General features: G+C 54.8%; 1 protein-coding gene across 2 annotated transcripts, besides 1 other annotated feature; it reads right to left on the bottom strand.

Moving 5' to 3' along the window:
* Positions 1–153: 153 nt before the first annotated feature.
* On the bottom strand, positions 154–19,392 carry FSD1 (fibronectin type III and SPRY domain containing 1). Of its 2 annotated transcripts, none has more exons than NM_024333.3 (13): positions 19,229–19,392; positions 17,949–18,044; positions 17,661–17,792; positions 16,007–16,108; positions 13,695–13,717; positions 13,394–13,515; positions 11,939–12,148; positions 6,710–6,808; positions 5,485–5,644; positions 5,039–5,118; positions 753–1,004; positions 554–642; positions 154–457 (listed from the first exon to the last, which is right to left on the bottom strand). In NM_024333.3, exons 1-13 carry the CDS (start codon positions 19,241–19,243, stop codon positions 347–349), a joined length of 1,491 nt encoding a protein of 496 aa, NP_077309.1. In that variant the 5' UTR covers positions 19,244–19,392; the 3' UTR covers positions 154–346. The 2 variants fall into 2 exon arrangements, with proteins under 2 accessions (NP_077309.1, NP_001317358.1); NM_001330429.2 differs by having other exon boundaries at positions 844–1,004.
* Positions 19,269–19,438: a silencer, noted in NCBI's record as "silent region_9884". NCBI's record gives its function as "represses an Ori minimal core promoter by ATAC-STARR-seq in GM12878 lymphoblastoid cells {active_cell/tissue: GM12878}" and the evidence as "EXISTENCE:reporter gene assay evidence [ECO:0000049][PMID:35858748]".

Below are 19,841 nucleotides of genomic sequence, written 5' to 3'. Positions count from 1 at the left end.
TCTGCCTACGGATGGCCCCATTTACTCCCAGTGACCCTCAGCTCAGTGAAATCTACCACCATATTCTGTGAGAAAAGCCCATTTTACAGCTGGGAAGGATGAGGTCCCGGTGCCACACCCAGGCCCAAAGAACCAGCACCGCGGCCTCGCCTGGCCAGTGTCTGACCTTTATTAAGAGGTGAGGTGGGGAGAGGGCCCGCCAGGGTGCCCACTCCCTCTTGGTGACCCCCCCATCTGGAGTTAAGGCTCCAAGCAGCAAGTGACAGAGGAGGGTGCCTGGCTCCAGCAGCCTGGGCTTGGCGGCGACTCCCCCAAAAACACCCCAGCTGGGTGGGTGCCTGGGGGCCTAGGTGAGGCTGGTGTTGGAGCTGCTGGTAGCACTGCCTCGCTTTTGCAGGCAGCGCACAGCACTGGGGACCTGCAGGCCTGTCGTCACCTGGAAGCTGCCACACCATACCTGAGGGACAGCGGGGGGAGGGGGGAGGGGCTCAGCTTCAAACCCCAGCGCCCAGCACCACCCTCTCCTCCCCCTGGGCCGCGGAGGGCAGCTCACCGTGAAAGCAGGCAGCAGCGGCTGTGTGAACCTGGTCTTGAAAGTGTGCAGCACTTGTTTGGTGCGGGCATTGTAGAAGGACAGGAGGCCTGGGGTCGGGGGGCAGAGTGACAGTGGGACCGGTCAGAAGTGGGATGGGGGCAGACGGAGGGGACTCAGGCAGGGGCAGCCAGAGACGGCAGCTGGGGCTTGGGGTCACCTTGGTGGAAGTCACAGTGCACACCCAGGCAGTCGGGCACGGGGGCGTCCAGCACCTTGACCTTGTTGGCGTGCTTGGCCGTGAAGCTGACCTGCAGCCAATTGTTGACGTGCAGGCACCAGGAGGCGGCCGTCTTGCCCAGTTGCTCGAAGCGGCCCAGGCTGCGGTAGGCCACGCCCACGCCGAACGCCTTGCTGTCCGGCTCGTAGCGCACCTCCCAGTAATGCTCCCCGCCGTCGATCAGCGTGTCCCCTGTGGCGCAGGGCAGGAGGGGTGGGCAGGGGAACTGGATAGAACTGGGCCACAGATGCCCTTCCACAAAGGGCCAGCCCCCAAGGTGCTCCTTACACCACAGCTGCTCCCTGCAGAGACACTCCCCAGGTTCCTAGCTGTACCCCCCAGATACTCCTCAGGTTCCCAGCTATTCCCCTCAGGTACCCCTTGAACCCCAGCTATTCCCTTCAGATACGCCTCAAGTTCCTAGCTATTCCCTCCAGATACTCCTTGGGCCCCAGCTATTCCCTCCAGATACTCCTTGGGCCGCAGCTATTCCCCCCAGATACTCCTTGGGCCCCAGCTATTCCCTCCAGATACTCCTTGGGCCCCAGCTATTCCCTCCAGATACACCTTGGGCCACAGCTATTCCCTCCAGATACTCCTTGGGCCCCAGCTATTCCCTCCAGATACTCCTTCGGACCCAGCTATTCCCTCCAGATACTCCTCGGTTCCTGCTATATCCTCCAGATACTCCTCGGTTCCTGCTATTCCCTCCAGATACTCCTCGGTTCCTGCTATTCCCTCCAGATACTCCTTGGTTCCTGCTATTCCCTCCAGATACTCCTTGGGCTCCAGCTATTCCTCCCAGATACTCCTCGGGATCCCAGCTATCCCCTCCAGATACTTCTTGGGGACCCAGCTATCCGCCCCCCCAGATACTCCTCAGGATCCCAGCTATTCCCCCCAGATAATCATTGAGGACCCAGCTGTTCCTCTCAGATACTCCTTGGGCCCCAGCTAATTCTCCCAGATACTCCTTGAGGTCCAAGTTATCCCTCCCAGATACTCCTCGGGATCCCAGCTATCCCCTCCAGATACTTCTTGGGGACCCAGCTATTCCCCCCAGATATTCCTCAGGATCCCAGCTATTCCCCCCGATAATCCTTGAGGACCCAGCTGTTCCTCTCAGATACTCCTTGGGCCCCAGGTAATTCTCCCAGATACTCCTTGGGGTCCAAGTTATTCCTCCCAGATACTCCTCGGGATCCCAGCTATCCCCCCGCCAGATACTTCTTGGGGACCCAGCTATTCCCCCCAGATATTCCTCAGGATCCCAGCTATTCTTCCCAGATAATCCTTGAGGACCCAGCTATTTCTCCCAGATACTCCTTGGGGACCCAGCTATTTCCCCCAGATACTCCTCGGGATCCAAGTTATTCCTCCCAGATACTCCTCAGGGTCCCAGCTATTCCCCTCAGATACTCCTTGGGCCCCAGCTATTTCCCCCCAGATACTCCTTGGACTCCAGTTATTCCCTCCAAATACTTGGGTCCCAGCTATTCCCTCCAGATACTCCTTGGGCCCCAGTAATTCCCTTCAGATATGCCTCAGTCTCTGCTAGTCCCTCCAGATACTTCTCTGGCTTGAGCCATTCCTCCCAGATACTCCTCGGGGATCCAGCTATTTCCCCCAGATACTTCTCAGTCCCAGCTATTCCCCCCAGATACTCCTCAGTCCCAGCTATTTCCCCAGATACTCCTCAGTCCCAGCTATTCCCCTCCAGATACTCCTCAGTCCCAGCTATTTCCACAGATACTCCTCAGTCCCAGCTATTCCCCTCCAGATACTCCTCAGTCCCAGCTATTTCCCCAGATACTCCTCAGTCCCAGCTATTCCCCTCCAGATACTCCTCAGTCCCAGCTATTTCCACAGATACTCCTCAGTCCCAGCTATTCCCCTCCAGATACTCCTCAGTCCCAGCTGTTTCCCCCAGATACTCCTCAGTCCCAGCTATTCCCCCCAGATACTCCTCAGGCTGCAGTTATTCCCTCCAGATGCTCCTCAGGTCCCAGCTATTCCCCCCAGATACTCCTCAGTCCCAGCTATTCCCCTCCAGGTACTCCTCAGTCCCAGCTATTTCCCCAGATACTCCTCAGTCTCAGCTATTTCCCTCCAGATACTCCCCAGTCCCAGCGATTCCCCTCCAGATACTCCTCAGTCCCAGCTATTCCCCTCCAGATACTCCTCAGTCCCAACTATTTCCCCCAGATACTCCTCAGTCCCAGCGATTCCCCTCCAGATACTCCTCAGTCTCAGCTATTCCCCCCAGATACTCCTCAGTCCCAGCTATTTCCCCGGATACTCCTCAGTCCCAGCTATTCCCCTCCAGACACTCCTCAGTCCCAGCTATTTCCCCCAGATACTCCTCAGTCCCAGCGATTCCCCTCCAGATACTCCTCAGTCCCAGCTGTTTCCCCCAGATACTCCTCAGTCCCAGCTTTTCCCCCCAGATACTCCTCAGGCTGCAGCTATTCCCTCCAGATGCTCCTCAAGTCCCAGCTATTCCCTCCAGATATTCCTTGATTCCCGGGTATTCCCCCCAGATACTCCTAAGCTTTATCAACTTCCTCCAGAAATTTATTAAGCCCAGATACTCCCCAAGCCTCAGTTACTCCTTTCAGATTCTCTACAAGCCCAAGCTACTCCTTCCAGACTCCTCCAAGCCATAGAAACTTCTTTCAGTTCCTCCCCATGTCCAAATACCCCTCAGTTCTTCCCAGAAACTAGATCATCCTCAAACCCTTGTTCCTGGAAGACTCATAGTGTTCCCACAGGCCTCAAGTCCTCCTCGAGTCCAGATGCTCCCCCTAGTTCCCAGCTCTGGCAGGGTCCAGATGCTCCCCCTAGTTCTCAGCTCTGGCAGAGTCTAGAAGCTCCCTCTAGCTCCTTGCTGTGACAGAGTCCAGATACTCCCCAGGACTCAAGACTCCCTCCTCTTGCTCTCTGAATCCAGATTCTATCCAGACCCCAACTCCACGTGGAAGGCAGGTTCTCCCAGGCCTCAGCTACTGCTGAGGCCAGAAGTTCCCCCAAGGCATTCCCCAAGCCAGATACTCTCCAGGCCTCAGCTCCTCCTGGAATCCAGGTGTTCCTCAAACCTCCATCACACTCTCCAGGAACCCTCTGAATTGGGATACCCCTTGGCTTCAGCTCTGTACACAATCCAGATTCTCTCCAGAGTTGAGATCCTCCCCAGGCCCCAGATCCAGGTTCTTGCCATCTCAGCTACTCCTTCACCCAATGCAGCTATTCCATGAGCTTCAGCTTCTCCTCATACTCTCGCCCCTCCCAGATCACAACTGATCTTTGTTATATCTCAGTTCCTCTCCAGATACAAGATGAACCTCTATACACGTCTTCTCCAGGTCTGCTCCTCCCTGATCTCAGCTACTCCCCACACCACAAATTATCCAGGTCCTTTCCCAAGGATGATCTCTCTCTCTCTCTCAAATCTCAGCAACTCCAATGACAACTCCCTATATCTTCTGCTTCTCCCTAAAACTCTCACCAATCCCAGGTGCACCCAGGAAAATTTAGATCCCCATAGAACCATAACTTCCCCTTAGGCCCTAGCTTATCCTCATGACCCCAGCTACTCCCTAACTTCCTTCTCTCTAGATATTCCTGACCACAATGACTTCCTCATACTTTTAGCCTCTTTCTCCAGCTCTATTCTGAACAGTAGCAATTCCCCTAAAGTCCAGTTCCTCCCTTGCCCATCCTCCACCAACTCCAGCTTCTTCTTCACAGGATCCAATCATTCTTATGCTACTATTGACTTCTCTTCAGACTGTTTTCTCTGGCTCCTCCACATACCCTCAGGTGATCCCCCAAAATTCCTGCCTGGCTTCAGCTCCCCCACAAACCCAGTTGCTCTATAGGCAATGATTCTTTCCAGCTACTCCTCAAATCCCAGCTACTCCCTAAATCCCAGCTACTCCCCAAGTGCCAGATACTCCATGGAGTCCAGAAAATTGCCCCCAAGCTCCTGCCCAGGCACTGTCTGGTCCAGAGTCTCTTTCCTTCACTCCATAAATTCTGGCTTTCCCCAGCAATCCCTTATCCCGAAATATTTCCATTTGGGCAGTGCCAGAACAACCTGTTATTCCGGGAGCAGCTTTGCTGATGGCTGCCTGTTTCCGCAGCCAAAGGCAAAGGTTCTCCCTCAACCCCCACCATTAGGCCCCTGCCCAAAACTCCCCTCTCCCCTTTCTTCTCCCCTTCCTTACCCAGAACTGTGTAGGACTCAGCGGTGAAGCGGTCCCGTCCCCCACGACCTGAGGGCATCCTCTTGGGAGATGGAGTACCTCTGTGGTGGGCAGGGAGTGGGCAGGCTCAGGAGGCTCAGTTCAACACTTCTCTCTCCCACGGTAAGGCTACCCTAGTCCACCCCAGCCACCGTGGATGTTGGGTCAATCTCTGGCAGTATTTGGCTCTATCTATATATCGAGCACCTCATGTTTATGTCAGAACATGCCTGTGCCCTCCGTCATCTGGGAAACTCCTATTTAACCATCAAAACTCCACTCAAAACCTCCTCTCCCTTCATTCCCTCTCTGGGTTCCACCAGCCCCAGGTCCCCTCTCCACCCCAACTCTGACCACACTGGGCTCTGTGTCCATGTCCAGACTGATCTCCTCCACCAGAGACTTAGGGAGGGGAGGGGGCAGGCTACCTGGCTGGGGAGTTGATGGGAGACGCCGTCCGCCCCTTGCCATCTTTCTCGCGAGCCTTGATATCCTGCACCTTCCCGCCCATAGCGTCCCACTCCACGGAGAGATCATCCACCCGCAGGTTCTGGTGGGATGTGGACGCATCCAGGCGGAACATGAACGCTGGGGCCGGGCAGACGTGGGAGTCACAGAGATGGGGAAACCCGGAGAGACACAGAGAGAGACAGAGAGACAGAGAGTGACCAAGACAGACCAAGACAGGGACAGAGAATCAAAGAGCCAAGGAGATAAGAGTCCAAGACAGAGATAAGAGACTGACGAAGCCTCGGAGAGAGACAGATATAGAGATGGACAAGCAGAAGGACAACAGGAGAGACAAGATGGCAAAGGGTAGAGGGGACAGAACATGGAGCCAGAAGCGCGAAGGCCAAGGGTTGTTGCCTAAAAGTCTCCCTCCCACGTCTGGAGGAATTTTCTTTTCTTTTTGTTTTGAGATGGAGTCTCGCTCTGTCGCCCAGGCTGGAGTGCTGTGGCACAATCTCGGCTCATTGCAACCTCCGCCTCCTGGGTTCAAGCGATTCTCCTGCCTCAGCCTCCCAAGTAGCTGGGACTACAGGCACACGCTACCACTCCCAGCTAATTTTTGTATTTTCAGTAGAGACGGGGTTTCACCATATTGGCCAGGCTGGTTTCGAACTCCTGACCTCGTGATCCGCCCGCCTCAGCCTCCCAGAGTGTTGGGATCACAGGCGTGAGCCACTGTGCCCAGCCTCTGGAGGCATTTTCAAGCCAATTGCACTACCCTGTGCTTCCATGGAGGACTAATCCCAAAAAAGGGGCTGGGCTACAGCACAAGGGAGTTAGGCTAGATTTCAGAGGGACTTCCTAGCAGGGCATGTGAAGGTGTCACTGTGAAAGGCTCTGGAATCAGTCTTCACTACTCAAATCTCATCCCCAGCTCTATAGAGGACTTATCTATTTTTTGGCAAAGAGAGAGTGTGTGTGGCTGTATACAAAAACCATCGAGATATACTGGGTAAACCTCAGAAGCAAAGGACAAAAACAGGGTTATAGCAGACACTCAGGCTAAGGAAGCCAACTGTGGACGGAGCTTTGAGCTTCCTGGCAGCCAGGGCAACCCTGCTTCGAGGATTCTCATGGTCTCTGGGGGCTGTGGGAGGAAGGGGCCATGGAGTTAGGGGTAGGACAAGGGTGGAATCCAGTCACCTGGTGTCTCCAGAGTCACCGGCTCAGAGAACTCTCCTGCAACTGCCTTGTTACAGGCCTTCACACGGAAGTTCATGTATTTCATGTCAAACTTGAGACCTGGTAGGCAAGAGAGGCATTTCAACACTGTGTATTATTCCCTGAGACTCTGAGTCATGGGTTAAAGCTGTCATGTCCCACAGTGATTCCCAACGCCATTCTAAGAACCACCTTATAAACATCTTATCCAGCCGGGCGCACTGGCTCACGCCTGTAATCCCAGCACTTTGGAAGGCCGAGGCGCATGGATCAACTGAGGTTGGGAGTTCGAGACCAGCCTGACCAATATGGTGAAACCCCCGTCTCTACTAAAAATGCAAAAAATTAGCCGGGCGTGGTGGTGTGTGCCTGTAATCCCAGCTACTCAGGAGGCTGAGGCAGGAGAATCACCTGAACCCGGGAGGTGGAGGTTGCAGTGAGCCATGATCATGCCATTGCACTCCAGCCTGGGCAACAAGAACGAAACTCCATCTCAAAAAAAATAAAAAATAAAAAATAAACAAACATCTTACCCCTGAGACCATTCCTTGCCCTCCTCTCCCTGAGGGGCTATGAATTACTTGACTCCACCTCCAACCCACGTAGACCAATCAGGATGCTTTAAGACCCTGTCACAGTGATTGTTTCAGAGATTTGTACTGCACGACTGCACTCCAGCCTGGGCGACACATTTATTTGAGATTCTGTCTCAAATAAATAAATAATAAAAAATAAAAAATTAGTCTGGGTGCGGTGGCTTACGCCTGTAATGTCAGCACTTTGGGAGGCCGAAGTGGGCAGATCACTTGAGGTCAGGCGTTCAAGACCAGCCTGGCCAACATGATGAAACCGCATCTCTACTAAAAATATAAAAATTGGTGGGGGCGGGGGGTGGCGCCTGTAATCCCAGCTACTCAGGAGGCTGCGGAAGGAGAATCACTTGAACCCGGGAGGCAGAGGTTGCAGTGAGCCAAGATCGCACCACTGCACTCTAGCCTGGGTGACAGAGCGAAACTCTGACCCCCTCCAAAAAAATTAGCTGGGTGTGGTGGTGCACACCTGTAGTCCCAGTTACTCAGGAGGCTGAGGGAGGAGGAGCATGTGAGCCCAAGAGGTTGAAGCTGCAGTGAGCTATGATTGCATCACTGCACTCCAGCCTGTGCTACATAGCAAGAACCTGTCTTTCAAAAAAAAAAGGCCAAGTGCGGTGGCTCACGCCTGTAATCCCAGCACATCTGGGAGGTGGAGGCAGGAGGAACCCATAAGGTCAGGAGTTTGAGACCAGCCTGGCCAGCATGGTGAAACTCTGTCTCTACTAAAAAATACAAAAAACTGGCTAGGCGCGGTGGCTCACACCTATAATCCCAGCACTTTGGGAGGCTGAGGCAGGCAGATCACCTGAGGTCAGGAGTTCGAGACCAGCCTGGCCAAGAGACCAGCCTCGCCAATAAGGTGAAACCCCGTCTCTACTAAAAACACAAAAATTAGCCAGGTGTGGTGGCGGGGGCCTGTAATCCCAGCTACTGGGGAGGCTGGGGCAGGAGAATTGCTTGAACCCAGGAGGCAGAAGTTGCAGTGAGCCAAAGATCGCATCATTGCACTCCAGCCTGGGTGACAGAGCGAGACTGCAACTCAAAAAAAAAAAAAAAAAAAAAGGCCAGGCACGGTGGCTCACGCCTGTAATCCCAGCACTTTGGGAGGCCGACGGAGGCGGATCACAAGGTCAGGAGATCAAGACCATCCTGGCTAACACGGTGAAAACCCGTCTCTACTAAAAATACAAAAAATTAGCCAGGCGTGGTGGCAGGCGCCTGTAGTCCCAGCTACTTGGGAGGCTGAGGCAGGAGAATGGCGTGAACCCGGGAGGCGGAGCTTGCAGTGAGCCGAGATAGCACCACTGCACTCCAGCCTGGGCAACAGAGTGAGACTCTGTCTCAAAAAAAAAAAAAAAAAAAAAAAAATTAACCAGGCGTTGGGGCGCATGCCTATAGTGCCTGTAGTCCAAGCTACTTGGGAGGTTGAGGCAGGAGAATCGCTTGAACCTGGGAGGCAGAGGTTGCAGAGAGCCGAGATCAAGCCACTGTACTCCAGCTTGGGCGACAGAGCGAGATTCTGTCTCAAAAAAAAGAAAAAAGAAAAAAGGGAAAGAAAGAAGAAAATAACCCAAACCCTCCCATCTTTCCAAGCAATCAACAAAACAGTAGGTGGATTGCAAACGACCACATAGGCAGCTGCTTTCATCGGTATCCTTACTCCTGCACAGCTTTCCATGAATCCAACTTTCTGCCCTGAGGAATTCACTCACTAGGAAGTCTGTCAAAGGCAGGAAGCCATGGTTATAAAGCGTAGCACCTGGAAGCCTCGTAGTGACAGAAGAGATCTATACTTTGACCGTGGTGTTGGTGGTGACATGAATTTACACATGGGAGAAAACTGTGTGGAACACCCGAATGAGCGCGTGTAAAACTGGTAAAATGTGGCGGGGCGTGGTGGCTCACGCCTGTCATCCCAGCACTGGGAGGCCGAGGCAGGCGGATCACCTGAGGTCAGGAGTTAGAGACCAGCCTGGTCAACATGGAGAAACCCCATCTCTACTAAAAATACAAAAATTAGCCAGGCATGGTGGTGGGCGCCTGTAATCCCAGTTACTAGGGAGGCTGAGACAGGAGAATTGCTTGAACCCAGGAGGCGGAGGTTGCGGTGAGCCGAGATCAGGCCACTGCACTCCAGCCTGGGCGACAAAGCGAGACTCCATCTCAAAAAAAAAAAAAAAAGGTAGAATGTGAGTCCACTGCACCCGTGTCCATTTCCCGGGTTTTATGCTGACTACATGGGTCCTCACTGTACTTTTTGTTTTAGTTGTTTTGGCAACTTCCTGTGGATCTATAATTATTTCAAAATACAAAGTTACAAGAAAACAAAACCAAAAGGCGGGGGCACTTGGAGGAGGGATTTGAGGAATCCTATTTACAACAAATAAAAGGGGTGTGTTTATTTTGATTCTCAAGCAAAGGATAAGCCAATGGCTGTTTGCAGCTCCTGAGGCTGATGACTTTTCCCCCTGCAGTTAGCGTGCTCATGATTAACCATGTATGCTAATTACAGATAACTAGCTGGCTGATTACAGCCCAAAAGCAGCTAGTGAATGGTGATAGTTAAACCCGTCAGCCAGCCTCTCCCCGCCCCTCCGGGATTCCCCTGGATCAGGATGGCTTTTTTTTTCTTTTTTTTTTTTGAGACGGAGTCTCCCTCTGTTGCCCAAGCTGGAGTGCAGTGGCGCGATCTCTGCTCACTGCAGCCTCCGCCTCCCAGGCTGAAGTGATTCTCACTCCTCAGCCTCCCAAGTAGCTGGGACTACAGGCATCCGCCACCATGCCCCACTAATTTTTTTGCATTTTTAGTAGAGACAGGGTTTTACCATGCTGGCCAGGCTGGTCTTGAACTCCTGACCTCAAGTGATCCACCCACCTCAGCCTCCCAAAGTGCTGGGATTACAGCGTGAGCCACCACGCCTGGCCAGGATGGCTTTTTGTTTTTTTTTTTTTTGAGACGGAGTCTCGCTCTGTAACCAGGCTGGAGCTCAGTGGCGCAATCTCAGCTCACTGCAACTTCTGCTTCCTGGGTTCAAGCAATTCTCCTGCCTCAGCCTCCCGAGTAGCTGGGATTACAGGCGCCCGCCACCACACCCAGCTAATTTTTGTATTTTTAGTAGAGACAGGGTTTCACCATGTTGGTCAGGCTGGTCTCAATCTCGTGACTTCAAGATCCGCCCGCCTAAGCCTCCCAAAGTGCTGGGAGTACAGGTGTGAGCCACCACGCCCGGCCCAGGAGGCTTTCCCCCTTCAGACCCTACCTCCACCAGCTGGGTGGATTCCTTGGGTTTTGTTTTTTTTTTTCTTTATTTTTCTCTCTTTGTTTAGTAGAGACAGGGTCTCGCTCTGTTGCTCAGGCTGGAGTGCGGTGGTGCAGTCATGGCTCACTGCAGCCTCCAATTCTTGGGCTCAAACAATCCTCCCACCTTAGCCTCCCTTGGTAGCGGGGACCACCATGCTCAGGTAACTTTAAATTTTTTTTTTTTTTATAGATGGGCTCTTGCTTTGTTACCCAAGCTGGTCTCCAGCTCCTGGCCTCAAGCAATCCTCTTGCCTCAGCCTCCCAAAGTGCTGTATCACAGGCTTGAGCCACCATGCCTGGCCAGCTTTCAATTTCTTGTAACTGCCAAGGAGGACCCCAAATACTTGGAGGGTGAATCCAGAACGCCAGCTCTAGGAGGGAAAAGATTATTGTCTGCTTTGTTCCCTGCTCCGAGGACAGTACACAGCTATTTGGGAGGCTGAGGCAGGACTGCTTGAGGCCAGGGGTTGGAGACCAGCCTAGGGAAATGGCAGGATCCCATGTCTGGAAAAATATATTCATTATTATTATTTATTTATTTATTTATTTATTTATTTATTTTTTGAGACGGAGTCTTGCTCTGTCGCCCAGGCTGGAGTGCAGTGGCGCAATCTAGGCTCACTGCAAGCTCCGCCTCCCGAGTTCACGCCATTCTCCTGCCTCAGCCTCCTGAGCAGCTGGGACTACAGGTGCACACCGCCACGCCCGGCTAATTTTTTGTATTTTTTTAGTAGATACAGTATTTCACCGTGTTAGCCAGGATGGTCTCGATCTCCTGACCTTGTGATCGGCCCGCCTCGGCCTCCCAAAGTGCTGGGATTACAGGCGTGAGCTACCGCGCCCGGCCTATATTCATTATTATTATTTTTTGTTTTTTTGAGATGAGTTTCGCTTTTGTTGCCCAGGCTGGAGTGCAATAGCGCGATCTCGGCTCAGTGCCATCTCCACCTTCCGGGTTCAAGCAATTCTCCCGCCTTAGCCTCCTGAGTAGCTGGGATTACAGGTGCCCGATACCATGCCCGGCTAATTTTTTTGTATTTTTAGTAGAGATAGGGTTTCACCATGTTGGCCACGCTGGTCTTGAACTCCTGACCTCAGGCGATCCACCCGCTTCAGCCTCCCAAAGTGCTGGGATTACAGGCATGAGCCACCGCGCCTGGCCACTGTCTCATATTTCTGATCCACCTCCCCAGGCTGCTTCCAGACCCCATGAGCTTTGGGGATCGTCCCCAAGGCCCCCAGTGACTGATGGCGAGACGGGAGGCTGGAAGAGGTGGCTGTTCACAGCTGGGCGGAGCTGGCACACACTGCCCTTACCTGTCAGGGTGTACTCTGTCTGCCGGATGCCCTCGATGACCATCCAGGGCTGGTCCTCCTTGAGGCGGGGCGGGCCCTCGAAGTTGGTCCGCCGGTACTCCAGCACGTAGTGGTCAATCTTGCTGTCCTCATCCGGCATGCGCCACACCAGGGTCACACAGTTATCTGCCACCAGGGACTCAGCCAGGTCGATCACGGGTGCGCTGGGCACTGACCAAGACGGAAAGGAGAGGGGGTCGGGATTCTGTGCCTGGTTCAGGGGGCAGGGGGCTTGCTGCAGGGCTGCCCAACCACATGTTGGACAATTTTGGGGGCATGGCCACAAAGGGGTTCCATGTTTGGCAGGGTGGAGACTTTTTTTTTTTTAGAGACAGAGTCTTGCTCTTGTCACCCAGGCTGGAGTGCAGTGGCACGATCTTGGCTCACTGCAACCTCCGACTCCCTGGTTCAAGCGATTCTCCTGCCTCAGCCTCCTGAGTAGCTGGGATTACAGTCGTGAGCCACCATGGCCCGGCTAATTTTTTATATTTTTAGTAGAGACAGGGTTTCTCCATGTTGGCCAGGCTGGTCTTGAACTCCTGACCTCAAGTGATCCACCCGCCTCGGCCTCCCAAAGTGCTGGGATTCCAGGCGTGAGTCACCGCGCCCGGCCATGGAGACGCTAAGGTTCCATCAGTGGGTTGGGGGAGGGCTGAGCTTTCTTGGGATTCCATCATTTACAGGCAGAATTATTCCAAAATCTCTGCCAATGAGGGATGCGGCTTTCTTTGGGGCTGCATCATAGACAGGCTGGGTTCTCAGTCCATTTCTCCTCGGGGACGTGGCCTTCTCAGGGCTCCACCCCTGGAAACAGGGTTTTCCCAGGAGCTACCATGTGGTGGGCAGGCCCTTCTCGTGGCTCTATCCAGGGAGGAGGTCTCGGGAGGACTCCACTCCCCCAACGACATGGTATTCTCAGGGCTCCACCCCTGTGGACAGAGTTTTCCCAGGACCTCACCCCCTGGTGGGTGGGGCTTTCTGATGGCTCCACCCATGGGCGGGACTTGATGAATACCCCACCCCCACAGGACGTGCTATTCTCAGGGCTCCACCCCTGGGGACAGGATTTTCCCACCTGGTGAGTTTGACCTTCTCATGGCTCCACCCCAGGGCGGGGCCTCATGAGGACTCAACCAACCCCACAGGACATGGTATTCTCACAGTTCCACCCCTGGGTACAGAGTTTTCCCAGGATGTCACTACACAGTGGGTGGGGTCTTCCCATGGCTCCACCCAGGGGCGGGGCTCCATGAGAACTCCACCCCCCACAGGGCGTGGAATTCTCAGAGCTCCACCTCCCCCAGGCGGAATTCAGACACCGGGTCGTCCACCATACTCCAGGTCCTGTTTCAGGGCCTCCTAGCCTCCCAGGTCATTCCCCGGAAGTCCTGGCCCTCTAGTGCGTGCCCCTCTCACCAGGCAGGAACTTGAGTGCCTGTAGCATCTGCCGCTCTTGCGCGAAGTCCACCATGAGGTGACTCATGTTGTCACTGACCTTCGCTTTCAATGATAGCCGGAAGGCAGGGGCCATGGTCACTCTGCAGGAAGGAGGTGGCAGGCGTTGCGTGGGGGACCAGGCCTGGTCATCCGTGGCGCGAGGGGGCCCCTCCCCAGGGCTCCCGTCCAGGGCTCTGAGATGAGACACCCTCACCAGGTGGCCCCTGTCTTCACACCAGGGGCAGGGTAGTGGGGTGGGGGCCAGACCCCAGTGTCTTACCCATCTTTGATTTGCTTGGCAGCCTAGAGAGAGGAACAGAACAACATTCAAAGATTTCTTTTTTTGTTTTTGAGACGGAGTCTTGCTCTGTTGCCCAGGCTGGATTGCAGTGGAGAGATCTCGGCTCACTGCAACCTCCACCTCCTGGGTTCAAGCAATTCTGCCTCAGCCTCCTGAGTAGCTGGGATTACAAGCACCCACCACCACACCCGGCCAATTTTTTGTATTTTTAGAGAGATGGGGTTTTGCCATGTTGGCCACACTGGTCTCAAACTCCTGACCTCAGGTGATCCGCCTGCCTCAGCCTCCCAGAGTGCTGGGATTACAGGCATGAGCCACCGTGCCTGGCCCAAAGATTTGTTTCATTTTTTGTGTTTTTTTTTTTTTGAGATGGAGTCTTGCTCTGTCGTTCAGGCTGGAGTGCAGTGGCACGATCTCGGCTCACTGCAAGCTCCGCCTCCCGGGTTCACGCCATTCTCCTGCCTCAGCCTCCCGAGTAGCTGGGACTACAGGCGCCCGCCACCACACCCAGCTAATTTTTTGTATTTTTAGCAGAGATAGGGTTTCACTGTATTAGCCAGGCTTGTCTTGATCTCCTGACCTCATGATCGGCCCGCCTCAGCCTCCCAAAGTGCTGGGATTACAGGCGTGAGCCACTGCGCCCGGCCCAAAGATTTGTTTCTACCAAATCATAAAGCCACTCTACAGACATGAAGACTGAGGCCTCTCGAGGAAGGTATTTGCCAAAGTGTCCCTGCACTTCTGGACTGTGCCCTGAAGACAGAGGATGGCCAAGACAGGCTCCCATCCCCACCCCAACCTCCTGCCCACACCCAGCCCATACAGCTGGCAAATTCACTGAATAAAACTACAGGATGCCCAGTTAAATTGGCATTTCAGATAAATCATGACTATGTCCCATGCACTCTTTGGGATATACTCACACAAATGCAGTTCTTAGTGTGCACATATATACCCTTATACTAAAAAAGTATTTATTCATTTGCATTTCAGATCAACAATGAATACTTTTTTTTTCTTTTTTTTTGAGACAAGGTCTGGCTCTGTCCCTCAGGCTAGAGTGCAGTGTAACAATCACGGCTCATTGTAACCTTGAACTCTGGAGCTCAAACAATCCTCCCACTTCAGCCTCTTGAGTAGCTGGGACCACAGGTGTGTGCCACCACACCCAGCTAATTATTTTATTTTATTTTATTTTTTGAAACAGAGTCTTGCTCTGTCACCTAGGCTGGAGTGCAGTGGTGCGATCTCTGCTCACTGCAAGCTCTGCCTCCCGGGTTCACACCATCCTCCTGCCTCAGCCTCCTGAGTAGCTGGGACTACAGGTGCCCGCCACCATGCCCGGCTAACTTTTTGTATATTTAGTAGAGACGGGGTTTCACCGTCCTAGCCAAGATGGTCTCAATCTCTTTTTTTTGCGACGGAGTCTCGCTCTGTTGCCCAGGCTGGAGTGCGGTGGCGCGATCTTGGCTCACTGCAAGCTCCGCCTCCCGAGTTCACGCCATTCTCCTGCCTCAGCCTCCCGAGTAGCTGGAACTACAGGTGCCCGCCACCACGCCCGGCTAATTTATTTGTATTTTTTTTTAGTAGAGACGGGGTTTCACTGTGTTAGGATGGTCTTGATCTCCTGACCTCGTGATCCGCCCGCCTTGGCCTCCCAAAGTGCTGGGATTACAGGCATGAGCCCCTGTGCCTGGCCAATTATTTTATTTTTTGTAGAGATGGGGTTTCACTATGTTGCCCATGTTGGTCTGAAACTCCTGGCCTCAAGCAATCCTCCTGCCTCGGCCTCCCAAACTGCTGGTATTACAGGCATGAGCCACTGCACCCAGCCTGAATGCTTTCTTTTCTTTTTTTCTTTGTTTTTGAGATGAAGTCTCCCTCTGTTGCCCAGTCTGGAATGCAGTGACACAATCTCAGCTCACGGCAACCTCTGCCTCCCAGGTTCAAGCGATTCTCCCGCCTCAGCCTCCCAAGTAGCTGGGATTACAGGCGCCCACCACCACATCCAGCTAATGTTTGTATTTTTAGTAGAGATGGGGTTTCCCCGTGTTGGCCAGGCTAGTCTTGAACTCCTGACCTCAGGTGATCCACTGCCTCAGCCTCCCAAAGTGCTGGGATTACAGGCGTAGCCACTGTGCCCGGCCTGGACACTTTCTTGGTATCAGTATGTACTTTTGCCAACTATCGCATGGGTGGGCTATACTTACACTAAAAATGTGCTTGTTCACCTGAAATGCAAACGTGACTGGGCACACTGTTCTTTACCTGGCAGCATCAGAGGCACCCACCTGAGGAAAGTCCTCGCTGTCCATGGCCTGCAGAGTCTGGTTGGCTGTCTCCAGAAGCTCCTCGGAGCTCTCCAGGGCCCGCGTGCAGGCAGCCAGCTGGTTCTGTGGATACCAGGCACCAAAGGAGGGGACAACTCACCCCACTGCCTCAGGCCCCCTGAGGGCTCCCCACCCCATTCAGAATCCAGGGTACCATGCCCTTCTCGAACTCCAGGTGAGAGATGGAGATTGGAGCCTTGAGCGCCCCACCAAATGGGGCTGGGCTCGGGGAGCAGAACAGAATCCCTGGGGAATCCCTTCCCTAAAAACACGTAAGGCCGGGTGTGGTGGCTCAGGCCTGTAATCCCAGCACTTTGGGAGGCTGAGGCGGGAGGATCACCTGAGGTCAGGAGTTCAAGACTAGCCTGGCCAACACAGTGAAACCCTGTCTCCACTAAACATAGAAAAAAGTAGCTGGGTGTGGTGGTGGGCACCTCTAATCCCAGCTACTCGGGAGGCTGAGGCAGGAGAATCACTTGAACCCGGGAGGCGGAGGTTGCAGTGAGCTGAGGTTGTGCAACTGATCCAGCCTGGGTCACAGAGAGAGACTCCATCTCAAAAACAAAACAAAACAAAAAAAACTCACATGAGCCAGGCACAGAGGCTCATGCCTGTAATCCCAGCAATTTGGGAGGCCAAGGCAGGAGGATCGCTTGAGCCCATGAGTTCAAGACTAGTCTAGGCAACATGGTGAAAACCAGTCTCCACCAAAAAATACAAAAATGAGCTGGGCGTGGTGGCACCTTCCTGTGGTCCCAGCTACTTGGGAGGCTAAGATGGGAGAATCGCTTAAGCCTGGGAGGCGGACGCTGCAGTGAGGCATGATTGCGCCACTGGACTCCAGCCTGGGTGACAGAATAAGACTCTGTCTCAAAACAAAACAAACCAAAAACTCACATGCCTAGGCCACATCCGAGCTCCAGGGCTCTAGATTCCCCCTGGGACAGGAATCTGGGATGTCAGGAAGTTGCCCAGGAGGTCTGGATGCAGCCTGTGTGACTCCAGCTTGGAGTCTGAGTGACAGCCCACGGGAGCCATGGGTGGTGTTTGAGTGGAGGTGATACCTTCAGATCTGGGGGGCCAGTGGGAAGGGCTGAGAAACCGGAGGCACTGAGTGAAGACAGGAGGGGAAGATCTGAGCCAGACTCGGGGACGCCGTGATGGAGAGGGGATTCAGAGAGAGCACAGATGGGCCAGGCGCGGGGGCTCATGCCTGTCATCCCAGCACTTTGGGAGGCTGAGGCAGGAGGATCACCTGAGGTCAGCTTGGCCCACACGGTGAAACCCCATCTCTACTAAAAATACGAAAATTAGCCCAGCATGATGGCGGGTACCTGTAATCCCAGCTACTTGGGAGGCTGAGGTAGGAGAATTGCTTGAACCCAGGAGGCGGAGGTTGCAGTGAGCCGATATCATGCCACTGCACTCCAGCCTGGGCGACAGAGCGAGACCTCCGTCTCAAAAAAAAAAAAGAGAGAGTGTACAGGTGGATGGAGGGGTCAGGGGAGAGATCAGAAACTCGAGAGCACCCAGTTTTTGGAGGAAGGTGCCGAGGTCAGCTACGTTCTGTTGAGTAGGAGGGGCGGGGGGAGAGGAAGATGCCCTCAGCCCTCACCTGCAGCTCGTAGGTACGGCTGGCACGGTCCTGTTTTATCTTCATAAGCATGCCTTCTTTCAGCTCCTCCAGGAGGGAGAAGAGGGACTGGAACTCTGCTTCGAGGTCCTCCTGCACCTTCGCCGAGTTCGCCTGGGTCGGAACAGCCAGAATCGGCCAAAGCCCGTGTTCAGAGAGGGAACCTGAGACCTCCCACAGGCATCAACAGCAATGGGCCAGTTCCTAAGGCTGCACCCTCCAGCTTCCTCCCCTCCCCTTACCTCCCCAGGACTGCCCCACCGCCTTCACCTCCACGTTCAGCAGCATCTGTTTCAGGGAGTAGATAAAGCTCTGAATTTCTTCATTCTTCACAGCCAGTGTTTTGATGATCTTCCTCAGGGCCTCCTGCACCACCAGAAGTGTGGACACACACAGGTGCACACACACATGTGCGCACACAGGTACACACACGTGTACGCACATGTACACACGTGCACACACATGCACACACGTACATAAATGCACACGCGTGCGCACACACATGCACACACATGCGCACACACACACGGCAGGCAGGTGAGCCCGTCAGCCTGGCCAGGCTCCCTGACCCGCGCTCCCCTCCAGGGATCCAGAGAGGAGATGTGGGGGCTGCCACGCTATTGAGCTTGGGCACCAGCCAGGAGGTAAAGCTCCGGGCTGATACAATTCACCCATAGCAGCTGGGCGCCCTAAGCTACCCCATATTACAGGAGAGGAAACTGAGGCTCACAGAGAACCTCTCAGGAAGGGACAGACCCTGGCCCCGAACCAGGCGTGCTTGAGCACAAAGGCTACAACCCGATACCTACATCCTGAAGGTGGGGCGTGAGGGGCTAGCCTGAGGACAGAAAACCCCAGAGGAGAAGGATGTCTGCTGGAAAATGGGCTAACCTGGGGAAAGGGTTCTCGGTGGAAGGAAAAACCCCAGGGAGGTGGGATAGCCTGGGATAGGGGCTAGCCTCGGAACAGGGGTGGGGCCTACCTGGGGGAGAAAGATAAGCAAGGAGAAAGAAATTACCTGGGCAAAGGTGGAACCTGGGGGCCAGGGATGCGGGGGCGCCAGGTAAGCGGGGAGGGGGCAGGGAGGTCTTGGGGAAGGGCAGGGGATTCTGGGAGGGAGGATCCCGCTCGGGAGCCTCTTGCTCTGACCCAGGCTCCAACCTGCTCCTTTTTCCTGGGGCAGGGTCGGTGGGGTCCGCACTGCGGAGCTGGCGGGGCGTCTTCCAGGGGTGGGGCGGGGGGCCGGGACGCCTGGTCCGCGGCCAGGAGGGAGGGCGTGGGGGATGGGGGTCAGGGATGGGACTGGGATACTGGGCAGGGTGGGGGGGCGTAGAAGGCACGTGCCTGGCCCCAAGCCAAGATGTGGGGGGGCTGCGTCCCAAACTGGGGTAGGGGGGCTAGATCCGGGCGGGGTCGCGAATGGGGTGGGGCCTCAGCCGCAGAGCAGCTGGGGTGGAGGCGGGGAGGGAGTGGGGGCGCTGCGGCAACACCTGGTCCCCTTCCCCGCCCCCGACGCCCCTGCGGGCCCGCCCTGCCCCACCCCGTCCTACCCTCTGTTCTTCCATGGCTGCAGCCCAGGTCACCCCGGCCCGGCCCGCGGGCCCCGCGCACGCTGGGTCCCCAAGCTGCCTTTGCCGCGGCCGGTAGCCAATGGCCCGCCGAGCCCTCGCCGCCGCCGCGCCCCCGGTTAGCGCTCCATCACCGCGCGCATTGCGCAGGCGCACCCGCCGCGGCCGCCTGGGAAATGTAGTTCCGCGCTGGCCTCGCCCAGAGCCCTCACATCCAGCGCCTGGGGCTCACTGGGCGGTGTTGGTGGTGATATGTGAGCTGGAGAGAGCCTTGGATGAGAAGACAAGGGGCTCGACCCCTGGCCCTGCCGTGGGACCTCAGAATCATCTCTAATGCTCCCGTGCCTCAGTTTCCCCACTTGTTCACTCACACAGGTTATCCGTTGCTACTCAAATTGTCTAGCCCGCCTGGCATTTACTGAAAATCTAAGGCTTTTGCCCAAGAGGGTGTTTAGCCTCCAGTGCCTTCTTTCCATTTGTCCCTATGTCACAACTGAACTCCTATACACCCCACAAAGCCCCAGGCTCCAACAGCTCCTCCAGAAGTCTCCGTGCCAGCCCAGGTGCGGAAGCTAAGAATGTCTGGGTCCAGCTT

This window comes from Homo sapiens, chromosome 19 (assembly GCF_000001405.40).
Source record: "Homo sapiens chromosome 19, GRCh38.p14 Primary Assembly".
NCBI lineage: Eukaryota > Metazoa > Chordata > Mammalia > Primates > Hominidae > Homo > Homo sapiens.
The sequence above is the reverse complement of the archived record's forward strand: the minus strand, read 5'-3'. Positions and strand labels throughout refer to the sequence as shown.

Bases quoted from the DNA above. Each gene is read 5' to 3' on its own strand.
- FSD1 (NM_024333.3), bottom strand. The intron at 17,793-17,948 runs GTGAAGGCGGTG...GTTCCGACCCAG, and splicing joins AGATGCTGCTGAACGTGGAG to GCGAACTCGGCGAAGGTGCA. The intron at 12,149-13,393 runs GTGAGAGGGGCA...CGTCTTGGTCAG, and splicing joins GGCACTCAAGTTCCTGCCTG to TGCCCAGCGCACCCGTGATC.